This window comes from Homo sapiens, chromosome 14, assembly GCF_000001405.40.
Source record: "Homo sapiens chromosome 14, GRCh38.p14 Primary Assembly".
Taxonomy (NCBI): domain Eukaryota; kingdom Metazoa; phylum Chordata; class Mammalia; order Primates; family Hominidae; genus Homo; species Homo sapiens.
This window is the reverse complement of record NC_000014.9, coordinates 76474994-76496763: the sequence shown is the minus strand read 5'-3', so window position 1 is coordinate 76496763 and position 21770 is coordinate 76474994. Positions and strand designations below refer to the sequence as shown.

General features: G+C 48.7%; 1 protein-coding gene across 9 annotated transcripts in view, besides 1 other annotated feature; it reads right to left on the bottom strand.

Annotated features, from left to right (window-relative positions):
* ESRRB (estrogen related receptor beta) overlaps positions 1-21770 on the bottom strand; it is a 191061-nt gene that overhangs the window by 5074 nt on the left and 164217 nt on the right. For all 9 annotated transcript variants that reach the window (XM_047431079.1, NM_001411038.1, NM_004452.4 and 6 more), the window contains 3 exons: positions 14638-14748; positions 14005-14166; positions 5048-5317 (listed from right to left, as the gene is read on the bottom strand). In XM_047431079.1, the coding sequence (XP_047287035.1) occupies positions 5048-5317; positions 14005-14166; positions 14638-14748 (543 nt within the window). The remainder of the gene's footprint in view (positions 1-5047; positions 5318-14004; positions 14167-14637; positions 14749-21770) is intronic.
* Positions 9720-10220: an enhancer, noted in NCBI's record as "H3K4me1 hESC enhancer chr14:76952887-76953387 (GRCh37/hg19 assembly coordinates)". NCBI's record gives its function as "activates a minimal SCP1, AML or CMV promoter by ChIP-STARR-seq in primed H9 embryonic stem cells {active_cell/tissue: H9 hESC(primed)}" and the evidence as "EXISTENCE:reporter gene assay evidence [ECO:0000049][PMID:30033119]".

Genomic DNA, 21770 nt, shown 5'->3' with positions numbered 1-21770 from the left:
ACTGGAGCCACACCTGAGTCATCCCGTGCACTGAGCCTCAGCAGTGGCACCCATGGTCGCCCTGAGGGCTGCTGCTAGGACACCTCAATGGTCTCCTGGCACCCATCCCTCCTCCAGCCAACACATTTTCTCTATGATGCCTGGGTGATCTTTCTCCCTCAAGGCTGAGGCAGGTCACTCCCGCACAACCCTTCCTGCCTCCCTGTACTGACCCCATCACAATCCAATCCCTTCACAGCCCTTGAGCTTCTGGTCTGACCCCAGCCTGCTTTTCTAGCCTCTCCCTGAAACTGGCCTGTTCTTTCCCCATTTCCTGCCTGGAGCTGATGGCCCCACTACAGAAGTTTACACTCCCTCTTCCCATCCTACCGAACCGTCTCTTGCTTTAAGACCCCACTCAGAGTCTACCTCCCCAGCTGAAAACAATTTACTCTTCCCTCCTTGAGCCCTTTACATGATCCTCTCTCATGTCAGGAATCACTGGCTCTTTCTGCCACATCCAGGCTCATGTCTTATCTCCCTTGGAAGCAGGAGCTACATCCAACTGGCTCCTCTTCCCCAGGCCACCCACTATACCCCACAGAGCCCAACAGAAACACAATGAGCTAGGAGGGATCTGTGCCAAGCACGGTGGCCACAGCCTTATGTGCGTCACTGCACATTCTTCACAATGAGCTGCTGTTCTCCCTATTTCACAGATGAGGAAACTGAGACTCACAAAGGTCAGGTTGCCAGACACTCAGCCAGCAGGTGGCAGAGGCAGGATTTGAACCCAGGTCTCACTGACCCTGAAGTACACGCTTTAAACCCAGCCTGCTCAAAGCATGGTACACAGACTGGTTCCTGCCTGCCCTCTGGAGGTTACTGGTCTGTGATAAGAAACTGAGAGTAAGCATTTAGAAACTTTATAGCACTTTGGAAGGATGATTTATATTTATGTCTGTTATATATAAAAATTTAAAAATTTGGCTCATGTTTTGTACATCTGGTTTTTAATTTCATTTTTTTAATAATTTATTTTTGTTGTATTTTACAAAATGATCTGTCCGTAATGGATTGAACATTTTGAAACATTTAAAAATGGGTCCTTCATCACAGGTACTTTGGCAAGCACTCCTTTAAATCATTACTTTATTTTATTTATTTATTTATTTCTGAGAAAGGGTCTCACTCTGTTGCCTAGGCTGGAAAACCATTACTTAAAAAAAAAAAAAAAAAAAGACTAGCCAGCCTGCTTTCTGAGCATCTACTTGATAGCAAGAGGGCCTCATGCTCAACCCCTCCGTGCTGGGAAGGAAGCATTCCCCTCATCAAGGACTGCGGCTCTCTGGAATAAGCAACGTGTGTTCCCTCTTGGGGGTCAGCCAAGGCCCTGAACATCACAAACTCCTCCTCCACCTCCAGCTTCTTATCCTGTGCACCAACTGCAGGATGGCTCTCTACATGTTGCTGGGGCAAGAAGTCCGGAGACCTGAAACCTCATACCATGCGACAAAGTGCACTCAGGCAAAGTCTGATGTCAACAGAAGTTCTGTTGATGCCAACAGAAGTTCGATATGGATTCATATTGACAAACCTCCACGGGTCCTCAGGTGGGGGTGTGTGTGTATGTCTATATACACATGGATGTGGCTGCATATGTGGGTATGTGCATGCACATATGTGTGTTCACATGTGTGTGTATGTGTGGGTGTGTATGTATGTGCATGTGTTTGTATGTATACATGTGCATGTGTGTATGTGTGCGGGTCCATGTGAGATCAAGGGAAGAGCAGCTGAAAGCTGGTGTGGTGTGGTCCGGTACTGAGGACCAAGTAAGAGTGGAGGAGACACTACCTCTTTACTCTCCTCTCCCAACACAGGCAAGATTGAGCTCTGTGTCTGGTGTAAGTTAGGAGAGCCCAGAATAGAGGGCTTGACCTCCAAGGCCTGGCCAGCCTTCCTGCACCTGGCTTTGTGCACCTGGCTTCCTCTGCTTTAACTGCTTTTGCTCCTCCTCCACCTGACAGAACCTCGAAGCCCTCTGCAATGCCTGGTTCAAATGCTCCCCTCTGTGTAGGTGAAGCACAGGGCCTTGATGCTATTTTGTATGATACGTCATTGTAGAAACATGTCATTATGCATTTGTCAAAACCTATAGAACAATACAACACAGTCGGCCGGGTGCAGTGACTCACGCCCGCAATCCCAGCACTGTGAGAGGCTGAGGTGGGTGGATCACCTGAGGTCGGGAGTTTGAGACCAGCCTGGCCAACATGGTGAAACCATGTCTCTACTAAAAATACAAAAATTAGCCGGGCGTGGTGGCAGGCGCCTGTAATCCCAGCTACTAAGGAGGCTGAGGCAAGAGAATCGCTTGAACCCAGGAGGCGGAGGTTGCAGTGGGCCGAGATTGCACCACTGCATTCCAGCCTGGGCAACAAGAGCAAAATTCTGTCTCAAAAAAAAAAAAAAAAGTTATTCTGTAAATCTAAAACTATACTTTAAAAAAACAGCATTAGGATTCTCTAACAAAGAATGCACTACAATTTTGGAATTCAATGTGTAAATATTCTCTGTGGACGTATGTAAAATTTTTAATATTATTTTGCATTCATTTATTGTTAATAAAAGATTTGAACTAAAAAAGTGGCATCCTTTTCTGTGTTAGATCAGGTTCCCTGGGAGCAGAGCCTGAGGCAAGGGTTTAGGTACAGACATTTACGGGGGGCATGTGTTCAGGAGAAAGGAAGTGGGGAGGCAGGAAGCACAGGGAAGGAGAAAGCAAGGCAAAGATGGGACCTCGGCTTCAGCCTGATCCCATGCAGGGCTCTGATCCGAACTTTTGTACCCATGTGGGTCCACCATTGCCTGGTGGTGCCAAGGAAAGGGCCACATAACCCTCTGGGCAAGGCAGAGGAGGGTAGGCCCTGCAAAGGGGTACCTCTGAACTGTTAGCAGCTAGGGGATGGATGCACTAACCCAGTAAAAGGGATCCAAGTGGGTCATCAACAGCACCCCCTGCATGCACCATGAAGCCATGTGCTAGGGCAACCAACTGTCCCAGTTTGCCAGGGACTGACGAGTTTCCTGGGATATGGGACTTTCAGTAAAAGCAGGACAGTATTGAGCAAACCAGTTGGTTACCCTGTGTGTACTGTCTGCATCTGGGAGCCAGTTCTCCCTTTTCCATATGCTAATAACACTTTGTATCCTCTATCATTAATAGTAATGATAATAATTAATATTTATTGAACATTTCCTCTAGGCCAGGCACCAGGCTGAGTGCTTTATTGTCAGTCAATCTTTAATACTCACAAAAGCACTTGGGGCTGGGCGTGGTGGCTCACACCTGTAATCCCCTCACTTTGGGATGCCAAGGCGGGTGGATCACTTGAGGCCAGGAGTTTGAGACCAGCCTGGGCAACATAGCGAAACCCCGTCTCTACTAAAAATACAAAAATTAGCTGAGTGTGGCGGTGCACGCATGTAGTCCCAGCTACTCGGAAGGCTGAGACACGAGAATCGCTTGAACCCGGGAGGCAGAGGTTGCAGTGAGCCGAGATTGCATCGCTGCACGCCAGCCCAGGCCACAGAGTGAGACTCTGTCTCAAAAAAAAATAAAATAAAATAAAGTGCTTGGAAGAGGTGCTCAGAATATCCCCACTGAACACACAAGGACACTGAGTTACCCAAGGTCATACTGCTAGGAAGTGTCAGAGATAGAATTTGAACTTGGGTCTATCTGACCCAGACCTGGGCAGTTAACTCTGCCACACACTGCTCTGCAACAGAATTATGTGTGTGATTCCTGGCATGTGTTCTCTTTAGGGAGGGTACCCTGTATTTATCCTTCTCCTGCAGCCCCCTGGCACCCAGCACCATTCCCTGAATAGTGTGGAAGCTCTCTAAGTGTGGATGTTGGTTACATTCAAGTTCACTTACTGGCATTACCCAACGCCTGCCTCTCTCCTCAGATAATCTAGCCAGAAGTTGGTGGATGCTAATGAAATGGAGTGAGTCCTCCTTTGTAACTCCAGCTTAAACCACTCAGTTGGGAAGGTTTTATCCTCCTGTGTTCAAGAAATTTGACTGAAAGATTCAAGGAGTGGGTATAGGTTCAGGTTGATTTTGGAATCAGAGGACCTTGGTTTGACTCTTAACTCTGACACTTTTTAACTGTGTGACCCTGGGTGATTTTCTTTACTTTTTCAGGTCTCAGTTTCCACATCTGTAAAATGGGGTTGCAACAATAAGAATTTTACTCTTGGGTTGTTTGTAAGAATTCAATAAACTCCTAGCTAATTTAATAAGTTGACGCTGAGCGTGGTGGCTCATACCTGTAGTGCCAACACTTTGGGAGGCTGAGGTGAGAGGATTGCTTGAGCCCAGGAGTTTGGGACCAACCTGGGCAACATAGTGAGACCCTATCTCCATAAAAAATAGAAATAAGAATTGGCCGGAATAATGGCACATGCCTGTAGTTCCAGCTACTCAGGAGGCTGAGGTGGGAGGATGGCTTGAGCCCAAAAGTTTGAGACTGCAGTGAGCTAGGATCAAGCCACAGCACTCCTACCTGGGCGACAGAACAAGACCCCGTCTATAATAAACAAATAAATAAATAATTGAGTGCTTTTTATGTGCCAAGCATGTTGCAAGCAATATAATTATGTATAAAGAAATCCTGTCAATAGCCTTGTAGAGTAGGGACTGTTTGGCTGCCCTCCTTTTACTGATGAAGAAACTGAGGCACAGAGTGAAGCAACTTGCCCAGTTGGTAGACGTGGGATTTGCTCCTTAGCAATGTGGCCTCAGAACCCATGTCCTTAGCCAGTGTGCCAGTCTGGATGTCTGAGGCTTAGGAAATGCTCAGCCAGTGTCAGCCTTCATCACCAGCTTTTTATCTGCAGGCCACCCCTTGGACAATCTTCAGTAATAAAAAGTTTCAGTGTTTTCCTTTCATCTCTATCCATGGCAGCCAGCCCTGCCCACAGGCCCCAGGGATGGGCTCATTAGGCCCATGCAGAGCCCTAGAAGCTCCCCTTCCAGGCCCCGCCGCCGCCCTTACCGGAGTTGGCGAGGGCCAGGGCCTTGAGCGTCACAAACTCCTCCTTCTCCACCTTGAGCTTCTTGTACCTGCGTACCAGCTGCAGGATGGCCCGGTAGAGCTCCAGCAGCCCCGCGAGGCGGGAGTGCTCCTCATCCATGATGTAGTCCTCAGCGTACACCAGCTTGTCGTCATAGGGCAGCGAGCGGTACACGATGCCCAGGATGAGGATTTCCATCCAGGCACTCTGCAGCAGGCTCATCTGGTCCCCCAGGGAGAGGCTTGAGAAGCCTGCAGGAAGAGGGGGCACAGAGGGCAGCAGCAGGTCAGGAGGGCGGACCAGGGGCCTCCCTGGGGCTCGCTGGGGGCAGAGGTTGCAGGGCGTGGCTGGTTGCGGGGTGTCCCTGGCACCCCTGGATCCTGCCCCCAGGCTTTCCCTGTGTAGCGTAAGACTCACTGTCCTCCCCTTGGGGAATGCCTCAGACTTGGAATTCACGGAAAAGACTTACAAAATGAGAGCTCAGTCAATGTTGACAGTTGTTGTTATCATTATGATTGTTAGCTCTATGGTATTTTCCAAACGTCTGTAGAGGCTTTTTGTTTAATTCAATGCATTTGTAGTTAAAGGAGTGACTGAGTACATACTGGAACCAGGAGGCAGCAGTACGTGCTCTCGGCCACTCTGGGGAGTTTCCAGGGCCCACTCTCTGCTCAAACCAGGGGAGGCTTTGGTATTTGAAAATGACACCTGATCCTTGATGCAGTCTCAGCTGTGCAGAGACCCACGGGCCTGACCAAGAACGAGGACGCAGCTGTTCAAAGCCACAGGGGAAGGCCCCAGTGACCATAGCCTGGGGCTGCTAAGAGATCAAGAGCCCCCGGGGTCAGGGGCACTTTCTCACAGGACAGCCTGCTCTCCCAGGGTCGGAGCCCCTCTTCCCGGGCCATAACTCTCTGCTTAACGATGACCCAGCAGGCCTGTTCCGGGAGCTTGGAATCATGCTAGTTCCCCCCTCCCTGCTATTTGAGGAGGCTGATTCCACAGTGAAAATAAAGTTGGGCATGGAGAAGGCTCCAGAACTGTGACACTGTCTTGCCCAGTGAACTGTGGGGATTGCCTGGGTTGAACCCTGACTCCCGCTTACTAGCTGTAGGCTGAACTTGTGAAAACCATGCAACTTCTCCAAACCTTAGCTTCCTCATCTAGGAAATAGTATAATAGTAGGGTCTACTTCAGAGAGTTGCTGTGAGGTCTAAATGAGACGATGATTCCAGAATATACAAAGTATTTACTGAGCTATTATTACTAATGATGAGATGAAAGTTCTCACTGCAGAACAATGATAATGTACTGGAATTGCATTATACATGCACTTAAATTAGGCAAAGTCAATTAACATCTTGATTTATAGGAGAGTAAGAGAGAGTAAGTAAATAAATAAGTCAGCTGATTTTCAAGCATCTTAACCACCAAACACAAGGCAGTAACTTCACTGGAGATTCAAACAGAAACTCAGTGATTGGTTCTAACACGGACATGCTGGATTTATTCAAAGAAGGAAGGGCATCCACAAAGTTGTTTGCACCATGCACTATGGGTAACTGACATGAAGGGATTTTTTTCAGGGGTAATTTTGCCTAGGAAGGACTTTCTACTTCATTTGCTGACTTAGACCCCATCCTTGGCTGGAAGCCACTTTCTGATGTGGGGTGCTGTGGGGGCGAAAAGAGAAGATGCATGTACAGTGCTGGGCACCTCTCCCGGCGCCATCAGCACTCAACATGCTAGGGTGCTGGTCATGGCTGTGGCTGTTGTTACTAAATATTGTTGTTGTTGTTGGCACACCATTGGCATCACTCACTTCTCCTCTCTGGACTTGCCTGGAGGCCTGGGTGGTCCTGAGCTTCTGGACCACCCAGCTCTTTGGCTTGTGTGGTCTCCCCCATCCATCTGCTGTCCTGTCTCCAAATGCCACTTCTTCCCTGGCTTCCACACAGGGCATGGCAGTTGAACCTTAGGGGTCACTCCTGGAGCTGAAGGTCCCTGACCAGGCAGACCACCCTTACCCTGTGAGCATTCTCCAAGTGAATTATCACAGTTCCCAAGACTGATCTATACAACTTGGGCCTCAGATCACCACTGGCTAATGGAATCCATGGGTGATCAACAAAAGAGCAGGAGTGATTACACCGACTGACACGGGGGAGCTTTGATTGATGCACCTTCTCAGGGGAGAGGCTGTGACAGGGGATCAGGGTGTGTGTGTGTGTGTGTGTGTGTGTGTGTGTGTGGTTGTCCAGATTCCCTGCATGGGAGAGGGTGTGTGGCTGCCTGTGGTGGCCGGGGGAGCTGGGAGGTAATAAAAGATAGATAGAAATGGACATCCAATTTCCCTTATCAGGTCTTTGAGTAGGAGAGAGGCCTTGGGCAACATTAATTAACAGATACCAATCAGCCAGCACCGGAGAGTGTGTTGGGGGGAGTGTTGGACAGCTCTAGGGAGGGGGTCTAAAAGCAGACAGACTGGAGGGGAGATGGAGGAGGAGGGCAGGGGTGAAATTAGCAGACAACTGAATTGGAAGGTGGTGGAGAGAGAGGATGAGGTAAGGACTAGGCTTCTGGAAACGCAGGGGAAAAGTCCCCTGTGCAGTGAATCCTGCAGGTACAATCATTAGGATGTTACTAGAATGCTTTTCTGCCCTTTGAGACATTCAGCAAAAACTTACAGAGCACCTACTAAGTGCCAGGCCTGTGCTAGGCACCGGGGACAGAATGGTGTGCTCAGTCCAGAACTGCTCCCTGCCTTCAACGGTTTACAGTGAAGGGGAAGACACACACCAAGGGGCACAAGTCAGCACAAAGTTGCAATATAAGAAGAGCTACAGCAAATGCAGGGCCCTGAGAGCACGCACTGGGGAAGGTGGGCCAAACAAGAGTCTGGGGAGGCTTTGTGGAAGGGGAGCCTTGAGGGCTGAGCTGTCAAGCAGGGTGGTGAGGGCACCTTTGATGAGGCACATGCCCAGGTGCCCCTGGATGGCCCATCCCAGCTCTGAGTTCCCAGGGTGCACAGACACTGAGCTGTTCCTTCCCCACCCCCACGACTGGGCACAGCAAAGAAGCTGCCCGACAAAACTTTGCAGCTAAAAGGAGAGAGAGAATGGACAAATGCCACAGGCTTTGACTCCCAGGAGACAAGAAAATGTGCCCACAGTACTTGGTTAGACCCTCTAAGATCTTTGGACTCAGGTTCAGGGTTAGCTGCCTTTGCCTATCTTGTAGGAGTCAGGCCCTGCCCTTGGGTGGTGGGAGGGAGACTGGACTTGGAAAGTTTTGTGCTGCCATGGGAGGATGTACCCGGGAGGCCTGTTCCCAAACCTCTGATAGGCTGCTTCGAGTTCTGGACTCAGCCCCTGATCACTCTCTTCCTCCCTGAACATTTTCAAAAAGCCCTGAAAATAGCTTTGATAATCCAAAGGTATACTCCAAGGCGCTGAATTGGTGATACAGCCTTCTTCATTTTGTGCAAGGAAGGGAGGGGGAGATATTTGACATCTTTTAACATCTGAATCTTTTCTAGTATTTGCAAAAAGAAACACCAGAAGGAAAATTGAGAAAGAAAAAGTGGTGACTTTTAGGAGGTCGGAATGGGAGGGGACAGGGATAGAGGTGAGACTTCTGTTACATACATTTGTGTCTACATTTGGCTTCTGAACCCAGTCAGTGCTTAAGATGCTTAAAAATAAAAGTAAGTCATAAATATAATTAAATTAAAAATAAAATAAAAGGCATGCTCCCTTCAACCTAGCAATTCTACTGCTAGAAATTTCTCCTAGTGGCCAGGCACGGTGGCTCACGCCTGTAATCCCAGAACTTTGGGGGCTGAGGTGGGAGGATCACATGAGCCCAGGAGTGTAATGCCAGCCTGGGCAACATGGCAAAACACCATCTCTACAAATAATTTAAAAATTAGCCGGACATGGTGGTGCATGCCTGTGATCTCTGCTACTTGGGAGGCTACAGCAGGAGGATCGCTTGAACCCAGGTGGTCAAAGCTCCAGTGAGCCAAGATCATGCCACTGCATTCCAGCCTGGGTGACAAAGCGAGATCCTGGCTCAAAAAGAAAAAAAAAGAAATTTATCCTAGAAAGAAAAGTATGAATAAAGACATAGAGATAAATGTAAAAGGGTATTAGATCACTGCTTGAAATGATTCAAAATAGAAAAAAAAAAAGGTAACTAATGTAATACATGTGATTATTACATAGATGTAATTTTTAGTTAAATGAATGTGCCAAATAAGTTAGAACTCTGTGTGGACGTGGAAAGACAGCCAAGGGGGCAAAAAGGGTGTAATCGTATGAGCACAGAGATCAGCTTCCTAACTCTGCTGTTCACTAGCTGTGACCCTGGCAAGTCTGCCTCTCAGTGCCTCGGTTTCCTCTTCTGTAAAATGGAAATCATAACAGCACTCACCTCATGGGGTTGTTCAGATTACATGAGCTGACATGTGGAACACTTAGAACCCTGCTTTGCCAGGTAAGTGCTACTATTTTGTATAATTAAATGGAAAAAGCAGGTGTAAAGCAGTGTTATGGTATAAGCCCATGGACTGGGGGACATACACAACCCCCACCCACACACACACCTCACACAGTGGTTGTATCTGCCCAGGAAATTCCCAGAAGGAAGGTTAGGATGGGGAATTTGGAACTCTTAATTTCGACCCATCTGTCCCATCTGATATCTTTACTAAAACCACAGATTCTTTTATTTAAAACCCAGAAGGAGCCCAGGCACTCCTCCCTGCCCTTCAGTAAAGCGCTTCCACCCCTGCCTCTCTCAGCTGGGCTGGGTCTCATTCTCAAGTTATTAGTAACTCTGGGACCAAGAGGCCCCTGAAGAGGCTACCGGGAGGGTCTGGGGGTGCCCCGTGCCCCTGGGAGTGCAGGGGTGTCCCTGTGCCGGGCTCACTGCAGGCAGCACTGCCTCATCAAGGCTCTCGGGCCTGCCCAGAGCTTCTGGCTCCTCATGCTCCCACTTGGAGCTCTGCTGCCCCAGGAAAATTGTTTTATCTGCACCAACTCATCTAATAACATTCAGGCTCTCCCCAAGCTCCCCATCCCCCCATCCGTGATTTGGCACCACAAGCTCCTAGAATTGAAGGGGGAAAAAAAAAAAGCACGTAATTTGTGGCAAGTGGAGTTCATAATCTGTTAATTTATGATCGTTTCTGTCGACCTGGAGGGCCATTAGCAGAGGTAATAAAGGGAGATGTAATTATAGGATCTGGGGCCACTTCAGACACAGCTGCTGTCACTCGGCAGCTCATATTTCATTGAGTCAGATGGGGGCTACCTGGGAGCAGTGCCGCTGAGGGACTTTTGTGAGGAGGCCTCTGGGGATGCCCTGCACATGGGAGCCTGGGCAGGGCAGGGTGGTGGAAACTCCCTGGGCAGGCTTTCCTGGCTGGCACAGGCATGAGGCTGCCGAGGGAGGCAGGATGGCAGGCTCGGGTCATTTGGAGGAGGCTGCAATTCATCAAGTGATTCCCCACTGCCTATTAAAGTCAGCTAGCTCTTGATCTCATGGAATAAGAAATGGACACTCTGAAGACTTGGGCTTGCCCTATGGGGAACCCAATACTTGGAACATTCAACTCAAGGTAAAAAACCTGCATTTGGGGTAGGACAATGTCAGACTGACTTGAACAATGGCTGGGATTCTGAGTGAACCAAGCTCCCCCTGGATGTCAGCCTTGTTCCAAATGGGATCCTTGGGGCAAAATAAATTCCTTGTCTCAGCCACAACTCCTATCAGGGGACCTCATGTGTAGTGACTTCTCAATATGTGCATGCAAAGCTAAGTGTGCAATGCCCTCTCGTGAGATGCGGTACCTTGCGTTTAAGGACACTGGCCTAAATTCTTCAGAGCTCTACTCCTGAGCAGCCTGCAGTGGCCAGTCCCCCTCTTTCTGTCTGTGCAGGAACTAGATGGACTGGAGCCAACACAGGCCCCAGGGTGGGCCCCAGCTTTTATCCTCCCTACTCAACCAGCTCTCTCTCTCTCTCTCTTTCTTTCTCTCTCTCTCTCTCTCTCTCTCTCTCTCTCTCAGGGATAGGGAGCCCATCTTCAGATGCATTTTCCATCTAATCTGAGATGGGATTAAGTTGATTAGTTTAAAAATATCAGGCACCTGGCCAGGCACGGTGGCTCACGCCTATAATCCCAGCACTTTGGGAGGCTGAGGTGGGTGGATCCCTTGAGGTCAGGAGTTTGAGACCAGCCTGGCCAACATGGTGAAACCCCATCTTTACTAAAGATAGAAAAAAAAATTAGCCAGGGGTGGTGGCACGTGCCTGTAGTCCCAGCTACTTGGGAGGCTGAGGCAAGAGAATCGCTTGAACCTGGGAGGAGATTGCAGTGAGCCGAGATCGCACCACTGCACTCCAGCCTAGGCAAGAGAGCGGAGACTCCATCTCAAAAAAAAAAAAAAAAAAAAAAAATCAGGCATTTGATTGTGTCATTGCCCTTAGTATGAGTTTACATGCAGTGGCAGGAGACTCCACTAATTAATTTTACCTTAAACACTGGAAGGTCAGGAGGCAAAGAATTCAGCATGCAGATTTATGCAAAATAGGCAAATTAGCATTTAAGATGGACAACTGAGCCCGTTTTTATTTTATTTTATTTTTTTACCAAAAAGAATCCGGCTTTGGACAAGGATAAATGAAGCCATGAAAGGAGGCTTTTATTACTATTAGCAACTACAACAGCGCTGGTAAGCGTCTCTGCCATTCACCCGGTGTACACACTAAGCGCGCTACATCCTCACAGCAATCCCGTGAAGGGGCTCTATCGTGATTCCCATTTTACAGACAAGGACACTGAAGCTCCGAAAAATTCAGTATCTTGCATAAGGCCAGTAAGGACAGAGCTGAGATGAAAGCCCAGGCTGCCTGATTCCAAAGTCTATGCCTTTAGCACTCACTCTGCTCTAGCCATGCCCTCTTGGTTGGTCACAGATGGGAGATGGAGCTGGGAGGTGGAAAGGCACAGAGAAAAATGAGTGCAGGGGAGACAGGGTCTCCTGGTCTTATCTACTTCCTCCGTGGTGTTGCAGGGGTGGGGTTGTGGAAGAAGGAAGCATTGACCCAGGGGACCACCAGGCGCCACTCGTGAGCCATTGCTAGGATGCAGGATCTGTTCAACCTGGAACAGGAGTGTGGGGCGGGGGCAGGGGTACCTGTACCCAATTTGGCCCTGGGTTAGTGGAGCAATCCAGGCTGAAGTGTCTTAAGCAGTGGCCTGACCCCACATCTGTGCTGAACCAGCACTGGGCAGATTCAAAAACTACTGAGTGTGTAATCCCCGAGAGGTTGAGCTCCTTAGTAAGGGCGTACCAGCCCAGATCCCTGGTCAGAATGCCCAGGGGCCACCAGGCAGTCCCTGCCAGCAGAGCCTCTGGGCCATCTGATGTCTCTGTGCGTCCCTGTCCACAGGAAGGCTCCTTCCTGCAACTTGGGCATGTAAGGTCTCACATGGAAGGACATTTTTTATTCTCTCAATCAACTGTGGGCCTTGGGCCAGACATGGTGGCTCTTGCCTATAATCCCAGCACTTTGGGAGGCTGAGGTGCGCAAATCACTTGAGGGCAGGAGTTCGAGACCAGCTTGGCCAACATGGCAAAACCCCGTCTCTACTAAAAATACAAAAAAATTAGCTGGGTGTGGTGGCAGGCACCTGTAATCCCAGCTACTGGGGAGGCTGAGGCCCGAGAATCACTTGAACCTGGGGGGCGAAGGTTGCAGTGAGCCGAGATCGCGCCATTACACTCCAGCCTGGGTAACAGAGCAAGACTCTGTCTCAAAAAACAAACAAACAAACAACTGTGGGTCTTGGTATCTAAAGTCTAGGTCACCTTTGCTGTATCGTCTGCTGTAATCACCTTTCAGAGCCATGACAAACCAAAAACGGATCTACAGACAGGAAGCTGACTTGTCCCATGTTCATGGTGGGTCATTACCAGAAGGATAAAAGGATGTTTCTACCACACTCTGAGTCAACTTATTAGAGTCTTAAAGGAGTTGAGGAATAAATTGCACAGAGAAAGGCCCCCAATGTGTATGTAATGTAGAATACATGGGTGTTGGTGTCTACAAAAATAAAAAAGCTCCCGCCATCTGCCCAGACCTAGAGAGGGTGAAAGCAGGGTTTGGGTCCACACACAGCGAAGAGAAGTCCACACAGCCTGAAACATGGAACACACACTTTCCGCACCAGAAAGGCCCTTAAAATCTCAGAAGCCAATCCAGAGACAGGCCTCCCTTAGAGATCAGGCGAATGGCAATAGTGGGCATGCAACTGATGCCAGCACATGCCAGACACTGTGCCGAACACTTCACACACAGGATCTCATTTCATGCTCACATCAAAGCTCACAAAGTGGGGGACTCTTGTATTCCCATTTGACAGAGAGGTCAGGTGGCCTACCTAGGGTTACTCAGCTAGTAAGCTGCAGACCCAGAATTGGAATCCCGATCTGATTCCCAAGGCCATGCTCTTCACTGCTCCATTCTGCTGCCTCCAATAGGAAGAGAGGGTCAGTCTTTCTTCTGTTGTTTTCTGGCATCCTTCCAATAAGGTCTACAAGAAAACCCTACTCTTTGCCCTTTAAGGGCTCAAGGAACTTGTTCTTTGAATATTACACTGATTGTAGATCCAAACATGGCCCCGCCTCGAATGATAACTAATTCTGAAGAGCCTGCAGCAGTGTATAAGCCTCACTGGGTCTTCTAACTACCTGTTCCTCTCCAATGCTACAAGGAGAGAAGAGGAGCTCAGAGAAACAGGCCTGCCAGGATTTCACAGGCCTTCTGGGGTCCAGGATCCGGGCATCAGAAGCACAGCCATTGGGTAGGCTGCGGAGATACCGGCTGAGAGTCCCTGGCCACACTCTCCCCTGGTCCCACATGCTCACCTGGGATGTGCTTGGCCCAGCCAATGATGACCACAAGCTCTCGGTCTGCCAGGTCACAGAGAGTGGTCAGGGCCTTGATGTCCCCCTCAGGCATACCAGGGGGAGGCATGGCATAGAGCTTGTCCGGCTCAGCCACCAGTAGGTATGAGACAATCTTGGTCACTGCAACAACCAAAGAGGGAAAGGTAAATGCTGGGAAAAGAGGAAAGGGGCCGGGGTGGAGGCTCAGATGGGTCAGGAAGCAAAGTTGGGTTCCTAAGAGCTCCAGGAAGGTCAAAGCGGCTATAATCTCCCCTCCTGTTCTGGCTCCATGAAGTTGCTGGTAGTGGTGATCTGGGCTGTTGAGAAATATCCCTCCAAGGGAAGTTGCCTGACGAATTCTCCAGGAGGAACCTGCAGAGCAACTTTGGGTGGGTGGCAAGGGGAGCATGTTCTGGACATTGGGGCCCGTGGCTTGTCAGGACCATGCTTCATTTGGAGCCACATTCTAAATGTGCCAGGCACTGATGTCACCTCCCCAAGATCCACATTGTCTCATGACCCAGTGGTGGGAAGATGATGTTTCCCTAAGGGATGCCTGATGTTCCAGGTACAGATGCTGGCAAAAGGGGCAGGGACTGCCCTGACACTCACATGGCTTTTTAGCAGGTGGAGAAATTTGTAAGCTCAGGTATGGGCTGCTCTCTGAGTCCAGCCGTCGCTTGTATTTCTGACGGCCTCCACGCACTCGATCAAGGCGCACACCTATTGGGGAGGAAAGGGAAAAGATCTCAGCAGTTGTTCAACATCACCAGGGTAGAAGCACTGACTTTGGAATTTCAGCACTGGCTGGGTCCTTCAGGGCCTTGCTCGGATGACCTTCGACAGCTGCCCCACGGCCAGCCTCAGGCCAGGTGGCTGGACAATCCTAAAATAATTGTCTAACAGTAATGGCGCATCCCGTTGCCCCAGGCCTGGTCCTGTCTCTCTGGATTCAGCATCCTTCTGAAATTCATCCCAAGCAACCCTCAGCCCTTGGTTCTCCTTATGTCAACAAAGGCACTCTACCAAGTGTTGGCGGAAGAAGTCACATTATGTTAGATCTGCTTTGAATCCAGGGAGGGTTAACTTGCCAACAAAAGAAAGGAATCCCGGTCATTCACAGGCACTTCAAGGGTTTTCAGACTTTTCACACAAGAAGCATCTGAGGAGGCGCTCATTACAAATGTCAATTTCTAGACCCCACTCTCTGAGGTTCTAGCATAAAGCTCTAGAGTCTGTCTTTACACAAGTCCCCAGGGGATGGGAATGCAACAGTTGGGCTGGCCACCTCTGGACTGGAAAATCAGTGCCTGGAAATATCTTGAAAGTAGGTTCAAAAGCAGCTGTGGCTACTCCACGTAGACAGCCACTTCCAGGAGTGAGAGTTTACCCTGGAGAGATCTGTCATTGTCACTGAATCCAACTTGCCTTCCGGAAGCCTGCCTCACCCACAGCTCCTGCTGCCTGGACAGACACATTGGTACCATTTCATGCCCCCCACCAGCAGATCGAAGGCACAGGGCCTCAGGTGGACACACAGCTCAGACTGGCTACCCACTGATGTGGCCTGGCCTGCAAGGATGAATCCCAACAAATTGGTTACAAAGTATGAACCAACACAAAAAGCACCAGAGAGCAGGTGCCCCAAGCATGGTGCTGGGGCCCTGTGGGGCCTGGAAGCCACTTCTGCCTTCTTGCTGTGGCTCTTCCAGGCCAGCCTCAGACAACGTTCCTTCTTGGAGTCCTTACCTTGAGCTCACTGAACAGCTCCCTTTTCCTGATCATGAAATGGGCCTTGACTGAAACACACAAGAAGTCAGACACGGAGACCAGAGTCCTCAGAGAAGAAAGCTGGGTTGCCACCTCAGCCTCTGCTGCGACAGGCCAGGTTCAACTTCTGTTCTTTTCCCCAAAGGCAGTGAGTATCACCCTCACAGAGCCCCAGTCAGTTGACCTTCAGGGCCCTTTCCCTTTTCTAATAAACTCTGGTACTTCCTAGATGGGGAGCAGAAGAAACAGAATCTTCCTTCCTGTCCCAGCCTTGTCCATCCTTCAGCCCCAGAGTGTTGGCTGCCAGTCCCCCGGATTCAGGCCTTTCTCCAGAACAGGCAAGGGGAAGTCAGAACAATGGTTACTTAATGGAATGATGATTTAGAGCCCATTCATGCCTGGGGCTATTTTCTGGCTGTTTCTTTGTTAGGATGTTCAGCTACTAAATTTCAGTCCCTGAGAAGAAGGAAGTTTCCTAGAGCAACTGAAAGCAAAATTACTTTGTTTACTGAATGAGTGGAGAAAACTCCTTTAAGTGCACATTGCCCTAAAGGAACTTTGGGATGCTAAGGACACTACCCCCCACCCCTCTGCTGCCCCAGGTGTTTTCAGTTCAGGACTCCAGCCCTGGAGGGCAAGGATGCTGTGAGTTCACTGAGTGAGCCCACAACTCCTCATTTTTGTCAGCAATGTCTTTTTCAACCCCACAACCTGGTGTATTTGTACCTGGTGCTAAACGTTTTTTAGTCGGGGAGAGGGGGAGTCTACTCAGCAGCCCACCCAGGCTTCCTGTTTAAAGGTAATTCCCCTGGTCAGGTGCGGTGGCTCACCCCTGTAATCCCAGCACTTTGGGAGGCCGTAGCCCTTGAGGTCAGGAGTTCAAGATCAGCCTAGCTACCATGGCGAAACCCCATCTCTACCAAAAATACAAAAATTAGCCAGGTGTGGTGGCACGTGCCTGTAATTCCAGCTACTCGGGTGGCTGAGGCACAAGGATCGCTTGAACCCAGGAGGTGGAGGTTGCAGTGAGCTGAGATTGCACCACTGCACTCCAGCCTGAGTAACAGAGTGAGACTCCATCTCAAAAGAAAATTTAAAAAATGTAATTCCCCTATTGGGAATACGGAAACTGTTGGAAGTCTGTGTCCCACCCCTCAATGGATATCTGAGAAGTACATGTTCTCCTTCTCTCTGCTCTCTGGAGGTCAAGGCATGGACCCGTGACACAGGCTCAGCCAAGTGCACCATCAAACGGAGGCACAAGGACAGAGCGAAGGTGAGGACTGATCAGACCAGCAGCGCCTCCCCAGCAGAGTGTAGGCAGCCCCTGGCCAGTATGTCCTGGCTACTGGGTTTCCTGCTCCTGGGCTCTCCAGGGATTCTCCTGGTTCTTGTCTGGTTTCTAAATGTACTCTTTGAACCTCCTGATAGGCTTCCAATAAACTCCCCTTCTGCCTAGAAGGTCAGGTTTTGTAACTGACATTTGTTGTTGACTTCTCCAGGAGCAGAATCTGAGACAAGGCTGTGCATGCGAGCAGTTTCCAAGGAGGGAAGAAAGCCAATAACAAATGTGTTCCTGAGGACAGTACTGCTGTGGGCAACTGAGGCTCCCAGCTACCGGCTGCTTTGGCGCTTCTTGCCTGCCTCCCAGGTCCAGGCTGAGCAGACTCTGGTGGCCAAAGAAAGCCTAGGCGTCAGATCAGCACACACACACACACGCACGCATGCACACGTACACACACACACACACAAACAGACAGTGCTGAGTAGGTGTGGGCAGGAGCAGTCTCCGCTGTCTTCCTCCTCAAGTGTGGTCTGCAGGCCAGCATCATCACCATCATTTGAGGCTTGTTAGATGCCTCAAAATCTCAGGCCTGGCCACAGAGGAATCAGACAAGGTGATTTGCACGGACAACAGAGTTTGAGGAGCACTGCACTAAGGCATCCTAGCAAACGCAGCTGTACCATCAACTTCTGCCTGTACCTTGGACCCTAAAGGGACAGCTAGATGCCATCCAGCTCCAGACCTGAACCTATGTGCTGCTAGCACTTTGGCTCACATTTGCTCCCTCACCCCCTGCAAGCCCCTTCAGTGACAGCATAAGGAGCAGACACAAACACAGGAAGGATGATTCTTCCTGTAAAAGTCTTTTGGGAAAAGTTCCCTGTCTAGAAAAGCTTTCTGACTCTATCCTGTGACATGTCTACATAGAAGCCTCCTCTGTTCACTATACCCAGGCCAAACCAAACCCTCCACCAAGTTCTGCTTCCCCTTGGAATGGTGACAGGACCGAAAGTGAAAACGGTCCACCTCATCCATAAGAGACAGTAAGGGCCCCCACTTACTGAGCACCTACTATATGCCAGGATCTTAAACATATACTCTCCTTGAGTCCAGGACAAGCCCCTTCCCCACTTTACTGACCTTCTCTCCTAGATACCACTGGAATGAACTCTCGCTTCCCATCCAGCCTGCTTCCCGGCAAGCAGCTGTCAATCAGAGTGAGGCATGCTCAACACAAAATAAAAAGAGGTGTCTGTCCCTCGGCAAGGCAAGGAGATGGGCAGCTGCCACCTCTGCCGATGTCTCCATCTGGGATGTTCTGTGTCCTGATATAGGGCCTGACCTTTCATGGATGTTCAGGAAAGACTTGATGAATACAGGGGTGGATGTACCTCTGTCCTCCTCATCCCCATGCCAGGCTGGGGGCTTCTTCATGGGCTCCCAGAGCACACTGGGCTTCCCCTACTGACTAGGCACCCGTTAAGGCCAGGGGCGGCTCACAGTCCTGCCCCAAAGTCTGTCATGGTACCCAAGATGCAGCATGTGCTTAGAAAATGGGATTATTATGGTTATTATCATCATCCTTATTATTACTGTTCCCCAGCATTGCATCCAAGTTTTTGGTAAATCACATGAATAATGATAATGATAACAGCATAATTTGTAAAGGACTCTCTGTATGTATTACCCTACTTAACCCACAAAAATATAAGGCAGGTGCTATTATCCTCATTTTACAAATAAGAAAAACTGAGGCTCAGAGAGATTCAGTGATTTCCCCAATAAAAGACCCAAGCTTTTTGCCATTCCATGGTATGACCTCCCAGCGCACAGCAAATGTTAAATTCTCCTCTAAATTTTCTCCTCCTGATCTTTACAGCATAGTGGTCAATGGCTCCAATCAATACGTGTATCAATTATCAGATTACGCTGTTAAAAAAACAGTAGCCTGTTGGGTTTAATTATGCACAAACTGACACCTGATGTGAAATGTGTCTGTTCCCCTTGCTTCCTGTCTGCTCTTCTGAGCCTGCCCTAAGCACAGCCCACAATCACTGCAGCCCATGGGCTCGATAATGAAGGTCCCATGCCCATCTCTGTCCCTTACGGGTTATTTCAGGTTATTTGGCCTTGGACAAGTGGGCTTCAGCTGCATCTTCAGGTCTGGGGAAGGAGGCGATGGTAAAACCAACTCTGCTCAAGGTAGATGGCTTTTGTGACAATTGTATGACTTAATGATGAGAAAATGCTTGGTAAGCTGGAAAGCAGTTCCAGTAGGCTGGGTGAGGCCATCTCTTCTACCACCCTCCTGCCAACCCATAGCACTTCAACATTCATCTGATACCTCACAGGCCACCTCATGCTGGTTTCCCTTTATACCCATCAGCTCTTCGATTCGATGGGTTCTTAGAGGACAGGACCCTGGCTTGCTCTATTTCTCCCCTGCTCTGGCACTGCCTCACACTCAGGACTTGCTAGGGCCATTTAGAGTGGGAGGGTCCTGTGACACAGACCTGTGCACCCCTAGCCTGGGGTTGGGGAAGATGGAACCCCACCAAAGTGAAGCGGCCTTCTCCTTTTTTTACTGTTTTTGAGACAGACTCTCACTCTGTGGCCCAGGCCGGACTGCAGTGGTGTGATCTCGGCTCACTGCAACCTCCGCCTCCCAGGTTCAAGCCATTCTCATGCCTCAGCCTCTCGAGTAGCTGGGACCACAGGTGCGTGCCACCACGGCAATGGGATGTCAGGTTAAGTCCATGGCAGGACTTCTGGAACGGTTTTGCTTTTCTGAGAAAAGGGACAGCCATGTTCAGTGCAGCTCTTTTGCCTTTCTCTTGCCCCAGCCTGGAAGGTGAAGCCTACAGGTGTGGCAACGACCTTGCAGCCATGACATGGCTGTCTGAGGACACCAAAGAACACCAGAGAAGAAAGAAAGAGCTGGAGCGCCCCTGCCGCCATGGCTGAGAACTTTGTGCAATACAGCAGCTGCGCATCTCCAGGCTTCTTGTAAGGTGGAAAAACCAACTTCATTTATCCATGCTTACGCTGCTAGCTATCAGGTTCTCCGTAACTTGCAGCAGAAAGCAATTTTCACTGACTGATACAATGGGCAATTACTTTTAAAATTAGGATGCTTAAGACTTACAAACACTAACTGGAAATAAACAAGAAGACTTGAACTTGAAATGAGAGTTGCCTTATTGTTTGTGTCCTTACATTAGTAAAATATCTAAAAGTAGACTCAGGAAACACATTAAAATACTAATTAACTTACAATTACTGTCTAGGATTATTAGATTTTATCATCTTATTGATAATTTTCTGAATGCAAAAAAGCATTAATAATGCTCAAATGTAAAGTGTCACATATTTCCAAATACTGCAATAAATACAGATCCTTTGTTTTAACCACCATTAACACCGTTTAATCCCTTAATGTGTACAGGTCAAAATTTTAATATTTCTGAGTGCTCCATGAATAGAAAAAAATTGATAATCCCTGGAATACATGACCCTGTGCAGACGGAGATCTTGAGTTGAGATCACACCATTTCACTCCAGCCTGGGCAACAGAGTGAGACTCCATCTAAAAAAAAAATTAATAAAAAAAAAAACCCACTTCACTCTTAAAGATTTTCTGCATCTTGACCATATCAATGTCAATTGACTGTATCAATGTCAATATCCTGGTTGTGATATTGTACTGTAGTTTTTTAAGATGTTACCATTAGGGGAAACTGGGTAAGCGATGCATGGCATCTCTCTGTATTATTTCTTACAACTGCATGTGAATCTGCAATTATCTCAAAATAAGAAGTTTAATTAAAAACTTAAAAAACAATGCTGCTGGAAAAGTAAAATGGTGTAACCATGTAGAACATAGTTTGATGGTTCCTCAAAAAGCTAGACAGAATTACCATATGATTCAGCAATCCCACTCTTAGGTATACACCCCCAAAAAAACTGAAAAGAGAAATCTGAACATACATCTGTGTAGTGTGGGGAAAAGAAGCAAATTTTTAAAAAATAAAAAGAAGGAATTTGAACAGACGCCTGTAGGACAATGTTCACTGCAGCATAATCACAATGGCCAAAAGGTGGAAACAACCCAAGTGTCCGTGGATAGATGAGTGGAGAAGCAAATGTGGTATATACATGAAATGTTACTTAGTCATAGAAAGGAATAAAGTTCTGATATATGCTATAACATGAATGCACTTTAAAAACACTACGCTAAGGAAAATAAACCAAAAGGACACCAAAGGACAAATATTATGTGATTCCACTTTTTCTTTCTTTCTTTTTTTTTTTTTTCGAGGCAAGGTCTTCCTCTGTTGCCCAGGCTGCAGTGCAGTGAGTCCATCACAGCTCGCTGCAACCTCAAACTACTGGGCTCCAGTGATCCTCCTGCCTCAGCCTCTCCAGGAGCTGGGACTACAAGTGTACACCACCACACCCCATTTTTTTTTAAGAGACAGGGTCTCACTCTATAGGCCAGGCTGGCTCTCTGCATCCTTGACCTCCCAGCCTCAAGAGATCTTTCCACCTCAGCCTCCCACGTAGCTGGGACCATAGGCACATGCCATGACACCCAGATAATTTTTTAAAAATTTTTTTGCAAAGATGGGGGTCTCACTATGTTGCCCAGGCTGGTCTCGAACTCCTGACCTCAAGCGATCCTTCTGCCTCA